Here is a 14,886-nt window from a genome sequence, read left to right on the forward strand (position 1 = left end):
GAGGAGAAGCAAGGGGAGAATATATGACTGCAAGACTAAACAGGCCAGTGAAGGAAGCCATGAAATAGGTTCTTGCTGTACCATACCATTATTTTTCCCTGAAAATATCTTTACCCCTTGTACTCTGCTACTCTAGGTCTAGGACCTTTTAACAAGTTTCTTCCTCAACAACACCTCCTTTATTGATACGGTTTAGTAATCTACGAACACCTAGATAGCTTCCTTTGACTTGATATTTTTTCTAAGCATTCTTTATCTTGTTCGTGTGTCTGCTCAGTACTTTTAATTCAATGATATATCTTTTTTCATTAATTTTTTTGAAATTCCACAAGGCTTAACATGCCATTCCACACAGAGCAGGTAGTCAACATTAGTTTGTTGATTGATTGTAATATGATATAAATCATGGGCACAATAAATTACTTGGCTACATAGAGAATTCTTACAACTCTGTCTTCTGTGTGGAGATGGGATAGAACCAGAATGGTATGTCTGTGTAGGCCACATGTCCTGGTTCAGGGAGTCCTACATGATGAACATGGTCTTACATGGTAAAATTGAGTTACCTTTAGTAATAACAGCAACTTATATATGTATAGCTCCTGGGATTTCAAATATATTTTATACCTATTAACTCACTTGATTTGGGAGTCAATATATATTAACTTCATGTTATGACTGAGGAAACTAAAGCTCATAGGAATTTGCTGATTTGTTCTTGTTTGCATCTTGCACTTTGCTGAATCTCAAAACCAGTATTTTGTTTGTTTTTTTCTTTTACCTCTTGGTCTGATGCTCTTTCTAACCTACCAGGCTGCTTCCTTCATTCCTTAAAGCTAATGCTGCAATGGTCACAGTTTGTGAATCATCTTGGAATACCATCCCTGCCTTAATTGATTTTTGCAAATACTGTGAACAAAGAGAGCCCCACCACTACTATATGCCCTGCATCTCCTAGCTTAATAAACTTGTATCCTGAAATAAGTCTTAAAGAACCACATGTAGCTCAAACATTGCACTCTGAACATATTGAGCTCTTGTGCATCATTTGCCCAGTATGAATCAGAAGGAAGTTTAGTCTAAGCTTCTGGACCAACTGACCTACCAGAAGGAAGATTAGAACATACTTTTCCTTTTTCTTGGAATTGGGAGGGTACATTTTGTAGCAACTTTCTGAAGGAGCAGAAAGTCCAATATCTATGAAATTGTCAAAATGATTAGCTAGTAATACAAAATAGTCATTACCATAATGTGCTTTCAGAGCAACATGCAATCATAAGGTATTTTTAAAAAACTCCAAATAAGCCACATAGAATTCTTGGTGGGCTAACTTCTCATCTACCCTCAATGACACCACCACTACCATACCATTTGTGGTACTTCATGTTTTGTTTTGTTTTTAAGGGTTGGTTTAATTTCAGCTAGGGTAGACTTCATAGTCTCAAATCTCTTATGGAGCAAGATCTGAATTAGATCCTTCCATTGAGCCCTATTACATTGCCTGCTCTTCACTGTACAGACCCAGTCTTGCAGATTTAGTAGAGATCATTACCAACCATAAATTTTATGTGCATTAAAGGTAGTTTTCCTCTCTTGTAATCATTATTAATATTTGATGGCCAAGGTATTATTCTTTATCGATAATTTTATACATCATAGTTAATTTAGAATGAAAAAAATCAGAACCGTAATGCAAAGTAGTGCAGCTCTACTTTAAAAAGTGACCTTGTCAAAGAGACGCATTTTTACTTCAATTAAATTCAAAGTCAGTCAGTCCCATAGGTAATGTTAGCAATTATAAGAATACTTTGCAAAAGTAGTTAAAAAACACTCAGAGAACTTTTATGTGATGCTAGTTTTTAAAGCAAGAATGACTTTCTTCCAAAACTTCAATTCTTTATGAGATCATTTTGGAGTGTACTGTTACATAAAACATGAGGTCAGTAACTAAGGCTAATTAAATTTTAGTAGGAGCAAAAGTCACCAAAAGGTTTTTGCATTCATCCTACCAATTCTAAAACAGTGATACAATACACCATTAATAGCCTTAGAATTGCTAATTATTTCAACATGAATAGCGATATCAACGCTGTCAGTTTAATTTAATACACTCAGGAGAATTCCTGCAGAATGCATGATTTCTCTATTATTTCCTGGTTTTCACAACCATTAAAAGCTATAAATTCTCTTCTTCAGAAAGAGAGAGAGATTAGTAGTCTAGAGTCTTCTCACTTTTTTGAGAATGTTGAAGTTGTTATTTTTAAAAGAAATGGGAAGCAAAAACAGAATAGAAATTAAAGAATGAGAGTACCCCAGGCTTTATTCTGTGATCTAGTATGAGGTAAATGTTCATAACTCCAAAAGAATTAAAACACTCATGCCTTCTATTAGTTCCAATGGAGTTCCCACTTAGGGAATAACCTTAGACTTGGGGTTGAAAGTGTCTTTTTTCTGGAGGGAAACTAAAATTAATGCCTGGAGGAGTGAAAGTTAAAAGAAGTCGATGAAATAAACAAGCAGGTTTTATTTACTAGAAACTTTAGTAAGTTAAAAGGAAGAAGTGAGTCACTCATTTCATAACATACTTTATTTAGAAGACAATAGGAAGCAACTACAGCTTTTTTCATGGAAGAAAGGTGAGTTAAAATGGATTCTACAAAACATTAATCTGATAGTAGCAAACTAAAAACTACTGGACTCTGAGGGTTAGTCAAAACCTTCAAGATAAGCTAAGTTTCTATTGGATATGTTTCCTCTACAACATCCCTTATTGACCAATCTTGGTTTGCGTATCTCTAGTGAAACGTAGTACCTCATTTTCAGAATATTCTAATTGTTTGAAAATTTTCTTCACCCCAAATACTGTCATCCTTGAATATTCACTTATTTGCTGATTTAGTGTCTCCGTAATGTGGTCTTTGACATGCTTTTAGGTGACAAACAGGAAGGTATCTTTTAATTTTAATGGTAATATATATTTCAACATACATTCACAAATACACTAGTGAACCCAACTCATGATTTCACAGATGATGATTGCTAAGAATGAAGTAGAAAAAAAATGAGTCCGTGTGAAGCTCAGTTGAGAAAACTATTACATAAATGTTAAAATGTATGTGAATATGAATATGACTGAAGCCATGAAGGTGATTACATAAAAGGCCAAGCATGAAAAATAGTCCTGTAGGTCTACACTGTGGGCACCAGAGCAGACACCATACTCCTGCCTAATGGCGGAAGAGCTGTGCTGTCGTGAGATTAGTCAGGAAGGGTAGATGAATGGAGGCCAGGAGGAGAGGTAGAAGGCTGCTGTCATAAAGGAACAGGCATAGTGATGGCTTGCACCACAGTGGAGGCAGCAGAAATGTTGAGAAATAAGTCTATCAGTGAGGTGTCACAGAAAGACCACTGTCCTGCATGTCAGACGACTTAGATGTTGGTCCAAACACTCTTCCAATTAAACCTCCCCTTATTCCTACAGGTCTCAGTTTGCTTCATCTCTGGAATGGAGATGGTTTCCTATGTGATCATGAAAATTTCTCCCAGCTCTGAAGACCTTTTATTTTGTAAGAATCATTGTGAAGGTATGGGCTTGGCAAATGAATGGAAAGATGAGCAATGGGAGAGGAAAGAATTGAAGAGGGCTGTGAGGTTTGAAGAATGGGTAAGTAGCATCATTCACAGAAATGAGAGGGACAAGGGGTCAGAAAAATTGGGAATCAGTGGCGAAGAAAGACTGGTTTGGATCTGTTGCAATGGAGAGGCCAATGACATTTATTTGTGATGTCTAACAGGTCCGTGGACACAGGAAAAGGTGAGACTTTGTTTACTTGTCTGTAAAATAGGGATGAGGTGATACATAGAGATGTCGGGATCGCTTACTTAGAGATAGCTTGTGAAACCATGGAAATGACAAAAACTCAGTAAGGAAAGGGAGGATTAAAAAAATTGCAGTTAAGCGAGAGAACATTTATTGTGAAGCTACTATGTGCTACGCACATTATCTATGTTATGTCATTTAAACCTCACAAAAATCTTGTGGACTATGTGTAATTCCTTCCATTTTATGTATTAGAAAAAAATGATGCTCAGCAAGGTCCCAGACTGCATAAGAATTAACATATCACTCAGATTTGAACCAGTCTCTCTGACTCCAAAATCTATATGGTGCTGTTCCAATGTGAAACATAGACAATGAGAAGGGATGAGGACACAGCATAGCAGTTCTCAGAGGGGGTGGAAGAAGAGCCCTTGAAACTTTGATAGTGCAAGGTCAGTTCAGCCAAAGCTGGACAGAGGGGAAAGAGGGGAAAATCATTTTCAATGTTGCAGAGAAGTCAAGGGGAATAAGAACTATAAAAAAAATTGAGTCGGTGGGGGGATCCAAGGAGGCAAATTATGCCACCTCAGAGGTTTCAATATATTGATTGGGGTGAATCTGAGAAGGAAGGGTGCAGATTATGAAAATGGTAATTATAATACTAAATATATACCGAGCACTTACTATATGCCAGACACTTTTCTAAGTGACTTATATGTATTAACTTTCAATCCCAACAATCGGCTTATTGAATGGTCTAGGCTCAGTAGGGTTCAAGGCAGGAAACAATTTTATCCTCTGCTGATATAGCTTTTCAATCACATCCCATCATTTCTCCATGACTACCTCTGGACAATATATTGGACAGATCTCCTAACTTGTTTTGATCCTTTTCAGGTACTGTATTAGAAACTAACATCCATACATTAATATAATGGACACCATGTTGTGACAAGAAATGATGTTCTTTATATATTGACACAAAATGTTAAGGGGGAAAAAGAGCAGGAGAGTGAATACCATAAACTATATGTAATAAAAGGGAAAGCGTATATATTCATATTTAATTATGTGTGCATTAAATATCACTTGGAATATCACCAAGGAAGTAATACAAATATTTGCTGATGGGAAGGAGTTGTTGGCTCGAATAACTGTAGAGGGAGGGAAACTTTTCACTGAATATCTTTTCAGTCTCCTTGACTTTTAATCTATGTGAATGTATTACTATTGATTTCAGTCAGCTATTGCTACAATAATGATGTACAACATCCATCCTCACACTCAGGCAATAAGCTTTGTTTCTCATGCTCATGGGCAAGTGGTTCAGCTGAGTGGCTCTGCATCAGGCTGCAGTTGTTCAGTTGCCTGTAGTAGTTTGCAAGGGACTGAATGTGTCACCCCTCCCCCATTCATATGTTGAAAGCCTAACCTTCAATGTGGTGCTATTAAGAGGTGAGGCCTTTGGGAGGCAAGTAGGTCATGAAGGTGGCGCCTTCATGAATGAGTAAAGGGGACCCTAGAGAGCTCACCCTCTTTTGCCCATGTGAGGATACAATGAGAAGATGACAGTTTGCCACCTGGAAGAGGGCCTTGATTATAAGGGCACCCTGATCCCAGATTTCAATCCTCTAGAAAAGTGAGAAATAAATTTCCATTGTTTATAAACCACCCAGTCTAAGATATTTTGTTATTGCAGCCCAAACTGACTAAGATATAGCTCTACTCCATTTGTCTCATTATGAGGTCCCAGCTAGAGAGGCAGACTTTCTGGGGCATGTTCTTCTCTTAGTGAAGTCAGGAATTCCCGGAGGGTGTCAGAAAACACTCATGCTTTCAACTGCAGGCCTGGGCTTGGAATGTTCACATACTCACCTCCAACCCAATGCTTAAATAAGCAGGGCAGCATACTCCTCCAGAGTTAAAGGGGAGTGAGTCATTGCTGAACAATAGTCTACCCGCCTCTTTAAAAGATATTTTAAATCCACTTGAGCCTAAGATCAAAATTTTAATCTCTCATCCAATCTCAGATTTCTCCCTTCCCCACTGTGGCTCAGCAGTTCAGGCTTGACCCATATTTAGAAATTTATGGTAGGTGCCGGGTGTGGTGGTTCATGCCTGTAATCCCAGCACTTTGGGAAGCTGAAGTGGGTGGCTCACCTGAGGTCAGGACTTCAAGACCAGCCTGGCCAACATGGCAAAACCCTGTCTCTACTAAAAATACAAAAATTAACTGGTGTGGTGGTGCGCACCTGTAGTCCCAGCTACTCAGGAAGCTGAGGCAGGAGAATCACTTGAACCAGGGAGGCAGGGGTTGCAATGGGCAGAGATTACAGCCACTGCACTCCAGCCTGGGCAACAGAGCAATACTCTGTCTAAAAAAAAAAGAAAGGAAAAAAAAAAGAAGTTTATGGTAGTGAAAGGGACTATGCTAAGTTTCTTTCCTTCTCTCCCTCCCTCCCTCCTTTCCTTCCCCCCTTGTTTTTATTCCTTCACTTTACCTACTTTCTAACTTTCAGATACTATTAAGATTTCACTTTTTAAAAGTTGGGTACAAGAAAGAGGTATAATGAGAAGGGAAAGAAATATTTCTTTTTTTTTTAAATGCTACTTTTCAAAAAAATTTTACTTTAAGTTCTGGGATACATGTGCAGAACATGCAGGTATGTTACATAGGTATACACATGCCATGGTGGTTTGCTTTACCTATCAACTCGTCGTCTAGGTTTTAAGCCCTGCATGCATTAGGTAATTGTCCTAATGCTATCCCTCCCCTTGCTCCCCACCCCCTGACAGGCCCCAGTGTGTGTTGTTCCCCTCCCTGTGTCCATGTGTTCTCATTGTTCAACTCCCACTTATGAGTGACAACATGTGGTGTTTGGTTTTCTGTTCCTATGTTAGTTTGCTGAGGATGATGGCGTCCAGCTTCATCCATGTTCCTGCAAAGGACATGATCTCATTCTTTTTTATGGCTGCATAGTATTCCATGGTGTATATGTACCACATTTTCTTTTTCTCAGTCTATCATTGATGGTCTGGGTTGGTTCCATGTCTTTGCTATCGTAAATAGTGCTGCAATAAACATACATGTGTCTTTATAGTAGAATGATTTATATTCCTTTGGGTATATACTCAGTAATGGGATTGCTGGATCAAATGGTATTTCTGATTCTAGATCCCTGAGGAATCACCACACTGTCCTCCACAATGGTTGAACCAATCTACATTCCCATCAACAGTGCAAAAGCATTTCTATTTCTTCACAGCCTCACCAGCATCTATTTTTCTTGACTTTTTAATAATCACCATTCTGACTGGTGTGAGATGGTATCTCATTGTGGTTTTGATTTGCATTTCTCTAATGATCAGTGATGATGACCTCTTTTTCATATGTTTCTTGGCCGCATAAATGTTTTCTTCCAAGAAGTGTCTGTCCATATCCTTTGCCCACTTTTTGATGGGGTTGTTTTTTTCTTGTAAATTTGTTTAAGTTCCTTGTAGGTTCTGGATATTGGACCTTTGTCAGATGGGTAGATTGCAAAAATTTTCTCCCATTCAGTGGGTTGTCTGTTCACTCTGATGCTAGTTTCTTTTGCTGTGCAGAAGCTCTTTAGTTTAATTAGATCCCACTTGTCATTTTTGGCTTTTGTTGCAATTGCTTTTGGTGCTTTCGTCAAGAAGTCTTTGCCCATGCCTATGTCCTGAATGGTATTGCCTAGGTTGTCTTCTAGGATATTTATGGTTTTGGGTTTTACATTTAAGTCTTTAATCCATCGTGAGTTAATTTTTGTATAAGGTATAAGGAAGGGGTCCAGTTTCAGTTTTCTGCATATGGCTAGCCAGTTTTCCCAACACCATTTATTAAATAGGGAATCTTTTCCCCATCGCTTGTTTCTGTCAGGTTTGTCAAAGATCAGATGGTTGTAGATGTGTGGTGTTATTTCTGAGGCCTCTGTTCTGTTCCATTGATCTATATGCCTGTTTTGGTACCAGTACCATGCTGTTTTGGTTACTGTAGGCTTATAGTATAGTTTGAAGTTAGGTAGTGTGATGCCTCCAGCCTTGTTCTTTTTGCTTAGGATAGTCTTGGCTATAAGTGCTCTTTTTTAGGTTCCATTTGAAATTTAAAGTAGTTTTTTCTAATTCTGTGAAGAATGTCAATGGCAGTTTGATGGGAATAGCATTGAATCTATAAATTACTTTGGGCAGTATGGCCATTTTCATGATACTGATTCTTCCTATTCATGAGGATGGAATGTTTTCCATTTCTTTGTGTCCTCTCTTATTTCCTTGAGCAGTGGTTTGTAGTTCTCCTTGAAGAGGTTGGGAAGAGCAAGTTCTAATGTCATTGGGGTCCTATGTGTGGCCCAGGGAAAGGTACTGGTTCTGTGTTTCATGAAAGACCTTGTGGGTTCTTTTCAGATTCATGGCAGAGACCTCATGCCACATCATGCCTTGTTACAGGTGATGCACCTCTGAATAACCACACCTGCCTCCTGTTTCTGGTCTGCTTCTCCTGCCTTTACAGAGGCTTTTAGTCTATTCTGTCTATTGGGTGGGAAGTTTTCAAATACTGAAGACCTGCTGCTGTATTCCATCTATGGGAAATAAGTACCCTTACCTGTTGTTGATCAAAGGGTGGCTTGTATCCATTGTGCTTCTTCTCACTGTGTTCATAGAGGGAACTCAAGCCACTCACTCATCATTAAACTTTTCTAGGTGAAAGTCAGGTACCAGTTTCAGCATTCCTAAGGTTTTATTGAATCATTTTCCCAATGTGGCATGATAGTAAGGAAGCACCCCATCCCTTCAAATGCTCAGCTCTAACCATCCTTTTCCAAACAAATTCTCATCTCTCTTTCCTCAGTTTGTATCAAGCCTTTTATTGCACAGGTTGGAGATGGATAATGGATTAAGGGAGTGGATGATACTGAGAAGCATGGATTCCAGACACAGCTCTGCCACTAACTATATAAGTGACATGAATAAGAATCTAGTACACCATTCTTCTAAAGAAGAGGAAACTGAGGCTCATACACTTTTCATAATTTGTCCTCTTTAATCTGATAGTGGCAAAGCTCTGCCTTAGAATCTGTGTTTCCTGAACCCCATAGTACAATGTTTGTTTCTACTGAATCAAAGTAGCAAGTCTTTCCTTATGTTTAAACAATCCTGTTTTTGTGATTTAAGATCCTTTCTTCTTCTGGTTTTGGCAAAGACCAGATCAGGAGAACAGCTGGCTACCATTTTTTATTTGTGAACATTATAAATAAAAAGCCTTCCAAACCTTCCCCAAGAGTTAGAATTTCTTTGGAGTCTTGAGCCTCAGAGACTCATTTTAAGTCCATTCAAACTACAATGTATTTTGGTTCTGAAGATCTTCTTCTGAAAGACCCCAATAAAGATCTCTCCTCACAGCCCATTCTTCAATTAGTCCCTCTGTGGGGCTGGAGGGAGATCTGTGGGGCTGGAGGGAGATCTGCGGAGCCAGCTGGACTTTGAACTTGTGATTCCTAAGGGAAGGTATATTTCAACCCTGATACTTAGATTCCAGGCTCTTTTCTCTGTTAGGAGTTGTATTATTGAAGTAAAATAACATTCTTAACTCTGAGTGTGGAGTTCTTAAATGAGAACATACATCTTATTTTTTCTATTTTTGGAAATTTAACATTCATTAAGTTGTTAACCTTTGAAAACTTCTATCCTCCCACTTCCTTGTCTGTCAGCCTAAATCTCCCCTCCTCTCTGTTACAGCCTCTTTCCTTAGAAGGATATGTTCTGCTCCTTTAGAGCTTAATTTCTCATGCTTCTCAACATTCCCTACATTGCTCTTCCTATGCTTTCTTTGAGGGTTCCCGGATGTGAATTCGCATACCCCACATTCACACGCCCAATTCAGATAAAACAACAAAGTCTATTGTCTTCTGAGAAAAATTCTAACTCTCTTCAGGTGCTGTAGGTGTCTCATTTTCATATTCCTGCTTGAAAATGTAAGAGGAGCCCTGAATCATGATCGTGCATTATGGCTCAGAGCAGGCCTTCTTAAAAGTACAATTCCTTCCCCAAAGGAAATGAAAGAGCTATTTAAAACAAGCAATCAATCCATTTAGAACTCTCCACAATCTGAAGAACATTTCTTATAGTTATGAATAGAAGGAAGAGAGGCAACAAATTTTTTAAAAATGGATTTAAAAGGAGACTTTTGGGCCCATCAGCATTCACTGAGTCCAAACATAGAAATTCAATTCAATTTATCATGTAGAGAAAAGATTAATCACTTGCAGGAATCTTGAAATTCATATGTTGCCTTCAAAGTTGTTAAATGAGAATCATTTCTAATTGTCACTATCTGCTCAGTGTTAAACTTTTCTACATAATTTGATTGTCTTGCTGCAGCATGAGTCATCTTAAGTTCCATTTTCTTTCAATCCCCCAAATCCAAGTCCAAAGATACCTACAACAATTTTTCAGAGGGTTCAAGTTAATTTCTTCTTCTCTTGAAAAACCAGCACTTTATAGGCCATAACTGTGTCACATGGGTGCCTAGTAGTGTAGTTATCTACTGCTTTTATCTTTTTTAAATGTTTTATAACCTATATATAAGAGTAAGTTTAATCTTCTATAAACATTATTTAGGGAATGCCAATTCTATGTGCTTTCTACCTACTACATCTTCTAGCTATTTTGTAAGCCAAATCTAAATGCCCTGCAGGACTACATTTCTGTTGCTTGGTTTTGGTGTACCTTTTCTTTCTTTCTTTTTTTTTTTACTACTCAACATTCGTTTCTCTGGGTGACATCATCTCAATTTGGGTACAGGGGAATCTGCTTGTTCTATTGCATGATCTACTGGGACTGTCTACCAAGGTATCTTGCCCTTGCTATAGCCTATGCTGAAGTCTATGATTCAGTCCTTTTCTCTGGAATTTGACAAGTGCAGAGTGACAGGAAGCCTGAAAGTGGCAACAAGAAAGAGGCAGAAACTCACTTATCCCTGAGGAGGTTGTCCATCTTTCCCTGCACTCTGGACTTCCAATTTTGCTTTGATTCATCCTTGTTGAGACTATTCCTTTAGATTTCTTACAATGTTGTCAGCTATTCACTATCCTTCAAATAAACTTTGTTTTCTGTTTAAATTAGAGTTGGCTTTTATTAATTACAATCAAAGGTGTCTGATGGCACTGGCCTCAAATATCCATAGGTGGTTTTCCCACCTATGGTCAAGACCAGGGTGGGCCCTTTTGTGGCTATAAATTTGCTCTTTAGTCTTCCTAAAATTTCTTCCTTCTTCTTTCTACTAAATCTACCCTTTTCATCCTTTATGACATTTCTTTAAGCTTCAAACTTTTTCTTGAAAACTAACATGGTTTGACTTTCTCCATTAACATTCCTCCAGAATTTGTTTAGCATTTATTTGTTATTTGCCAGACCCCAAAGTTGCCTTTTCCTGCACAGAGAAGTTCGCTCAGTTTTGCATCAGGATAAGCTGCCAAATGTTCAGCCAATTAAAAATTGAGCCACAATGCATCTACTCTTGACTTTTTGGTAAAATAAACCAAAGAAAACTTACTGATTAGACCAATCGTGAATCATTGTTATAAATGTAAATTATTCACAGGAAAATCATTACCAACGTTTCTCCCATCAAAAAGCAGGACATAAAAAGTGTAGCAGAGACAGGGGTGAATCTAAGCAGATGTTTAGTGCACAGAGTTTATTTTTTGATCTATACCAGCAGAATAAAGCTAGCAAATGATCTTAGTATCTCAGTGACTTAACACAACAAAGGTTATTTGTTACTGATGCTCCATGTCTAATGTGAGTTAGCAAAGATTTTCTGTACATCATAACCTGTCAAAGACCCAAGTTGGTGGAGGTATCCTGTTGATTAACAGTACTTCAGCTTACATTTTGTTGCAAAGTAAATAATATGGCCACACTATCATTAAATTGGGCAGGGAAATGAAATCCCTCCATGTGCCTGGAAAAGGCATACTATACATATTTGATGAATACTACTAATGAGGGACTACCCTAGATGCCTTACCCCGTATTCATAGTCTTTTCTCCTCATCATGCTCAGCATTCTTCACCTTAGAACTGCTCACCTCATTCCAGGCATTTTTTTCTAGGTCTCAGAGTTGATGTAACTAAGCTATTACTTAATCATCACCAAGATATTAACTGAAAATGATAACACATTGAATGGACAGAGCCTCTATAGTTTACACAGCATTCCTCTATAAATGATCTCCTTTGACCTTCACAACCATCCAGGAACACGGGTGGGGCAGAGTGTATTAATTCCATTTTATATAGATGACTAAACTGGAGCAGAAGGAAACAATGTGCCTGACCCAAATTCACACTGATAGAGCTGGGAATAAAACAACGTATCTTTCCACACTAAACCTGTTGCTGTGTTTCTGTGTGTATTTTGCCACACTGCACTTACACAGTTAACAAAGAAGACATGTGGCCGCTATTCATTTTATCGTCTTATAAAAGTGGAAGCAAAGAAGATAGAAATTCCCTCCAGAACTAAAGAAATGAAGCTGTAATGATAACCAGGACAGCCCCTCTAGCATATTATGACTAGTGGAGGGAGGTCTTGTCCCTGTCCTTGTACATATCACAGGGGTGGCTGCCTGCTTTTCCACCTCCTTCCATGAGTACTCTGAGTAGGGGAACACCGGTGTATGAGTGTGAGTCTCATTGTTAATTGACTAAATATATGAGAGAGGGCCATGTAGGTGAGAACTGTTTTAAAGGAAAGCAAGTAATTACTCTGATGTTACTAGAAAAATGAGTGGCTAAACTAACTCCTATGCCTGGTAACAGTTTCTACCTTTTACATCCAAAGAATGTCAAGGCATACATTTTTAACAACTACTTTTCAGGTTAGAAATCTGACTGAATGTAGGTCAGTTTAATTCTGGAGTCACTAGGAGATAGTTTGTTGTAAAAAATTATGGTAATTCTCTGTCCTGGAATTTCCTGTTTCAGACAGGTGTCAGTGTATCTCAATTTCTGAATTTGAACATGGAGTCTCTGTCACCAGGGGAAAGGGAAACAGTGTGTCTGTGGCCCAGGACTTGGTTGCTTTATGTCATTCACTTTCCTTGTCAACCTCTCAAAGGCATGAATTGTATGAACACATTGCGGATAGTACAGAAACTTCAAGGTGACAGGGAAAGAACAGTTGCTGTATAATTGAAAATTTCACTAAAAAAGCCTATAAGACAGATAAAAATGTGAAATCGTCTAGCAACATTTGCCCCTGAATATCAATCACTGTCAATCACTAATAAACTTTTCCAATAACTCAGGATCATTTTGATTATTTTCCTGGGAGGGGCTGTGGGTCTCTCAGGCATGCAGCACACCTGCAGGCAGGCCTCTTCTGGTGTTTGCCTACAGGAAAGTCATTAAAAGGCAGTGCAATATAGGGCAGCTCCCCCAGCAGCAGCGATTAACCTTCAGGAACCTGGCAGGCATAGGTGTATTTTAGAACCGCAGAAACCATTAACCTTCTCATTATTTAAAGGAGTGAATAGTAGGAGAAAAAACTAAGATCTTCTTCTCTATCTCTCGCTTCACTTCTTCATCTCTCCCCTGTGCCATTCCCTCCTGTTTCGTTCATCCTATGGCTGTCTTTGAGATGTGGGGACTGCCCTACTCACACTGCAAACACTGTTGGGGGATGGCGGCAGGTGTAACTTGCTGCCACCTTAATGCCATGGGAGGGGACTGGCACGTGGTTAAGAGAGGTCTTTTCTGCTCTGGTTCCACCCTGAGGAGTCCAGTCTAGGAGGAGTTGGTGCTGGTCCTAATGCCTCCTGGCCTGGTTCCATGTGGTGGCAGGTGCCACTGATGCTTGTGACACATACAGTGCCCCTGCAGGTGCCTTATGAGTGCTCATCCATCTCCTTGCCATCCTTGTCTCCCTGGCTCTCTGGAAAAGAAAGAAGCCCACCCTCTCTGCAGGGGAGAGCAAACAGCAAGTTGGCTCATCCGTCATTGCTTATGTCACGTCCAAGTTGTGGATGAATGTTCAGAGACTGACACAGCCTTGGTCAGAACTGACATAACAATAGTTCTTTTCCCTGTTAGCTAGGAATTTCTGATTGGGAACAAAATAATATCTACATCATTAAAAATGTTAACACTCCAGAAATAGCATCATATTTTAAATATCTGTTCTTCTGATGTCTATTAGCTGAGATAACTTACATTTGAATCTTAATGTACAAAAAAGTATCTTTGGGGCTTAATTTCACTTTCAATTAATGATGTTTCCTTCTAGAAAAGCAGTAGTGAACATAAAAACATGGGGCAATTGTTCTTGAATCTCTTTTACCAAATTCCATTGAGGTATATCATTTAAGATGGAGAGAAAAAATCCAAAATGGTTTAAAAAACTAGGTGCTGTTATTGTAGTTATAAAATAATCCCTAGGTTGTTAGGCAACAATATGAAAATCAAAACTGGCAACATGTTTGTGACTGTCACAAGAAGACACCTATGAAATTATTCTAAGGAGACAAGTGATTCAGGATGTGATGTGGGTTCTGGCAAAGGGAAGAGATGCCAGGATTGCCCCAGCCTCTGAGGAAGCCTCTTTAATTTAAATGTGCATGCTGAGATGCAGCTGTGCTGATGAATGCATATTTATTGGACCTGGATAGGAGGCAAATGCGTAACTAATTAAACTATCCTGGCATCAACTACTCTGGCCAAAAACCCCTTTTTAAAAAGCGTCACTGTTTAAAATGCATTCTGAAAGCAAAAAGTTACCACTCAGAACTGGTTTGCAAATAACATCTCTGAAGGAATGCGATGGTAATTTTACTTAGTTTAGAAAAATAATGTTTAGAAGTGCGTTTAATGTAGAGGTGACTTTATGAAAGTTTTTGCCCTCTAGCTGAGACTATTTTCTTATTTTAAGAGATAAAAAGGACAAACTGTCTAGAAAAATTATAGAATGGCATGTTAGAGCTCGTCTAGTCCACTTGTTCCATTTGCAGCTATGGCAATGGAGCACAGAGAAATGCCTAGGATATGAA

The 14,886-nt window shown here is 38.7% G+C and overlaps 1 long non-coding RNA gene across 1 annotated transcript in view; it reads left to right on the plus strand.

The window, feature by feature from the left end:
- The window catches only part of DPH6-DT (DPH6 divergent transcript), a 312,807-nt gene that overhangs the window by 162,031 nt on the left and 135,890 nt on the right, over nt 1–14,886 (plus strand). Inside the window, exon 2 of the long non-coding RNA NR_038251.1 lies at nt 3,482–3,664. This is a non-coding gene — a long non-coding RNA (DPH6 divergent transcript). The remainder of the gene's footprint in view (nt 1–3,481; nt 3,665–14,886) is intronic.

This window comes from Homo sapiens, chromosome 15, assembly GCF_000001405.40.
Source record: "Homo sapiens chromosome 15, GRCh38.p14 Primary Assembly".
In the NCBI taxonomy this organism is placed as follows: Eukaryota; Metazoa; Chordata; class Mammalia; order Primates; family Hominidae; genus Homo; species Homo sapiens.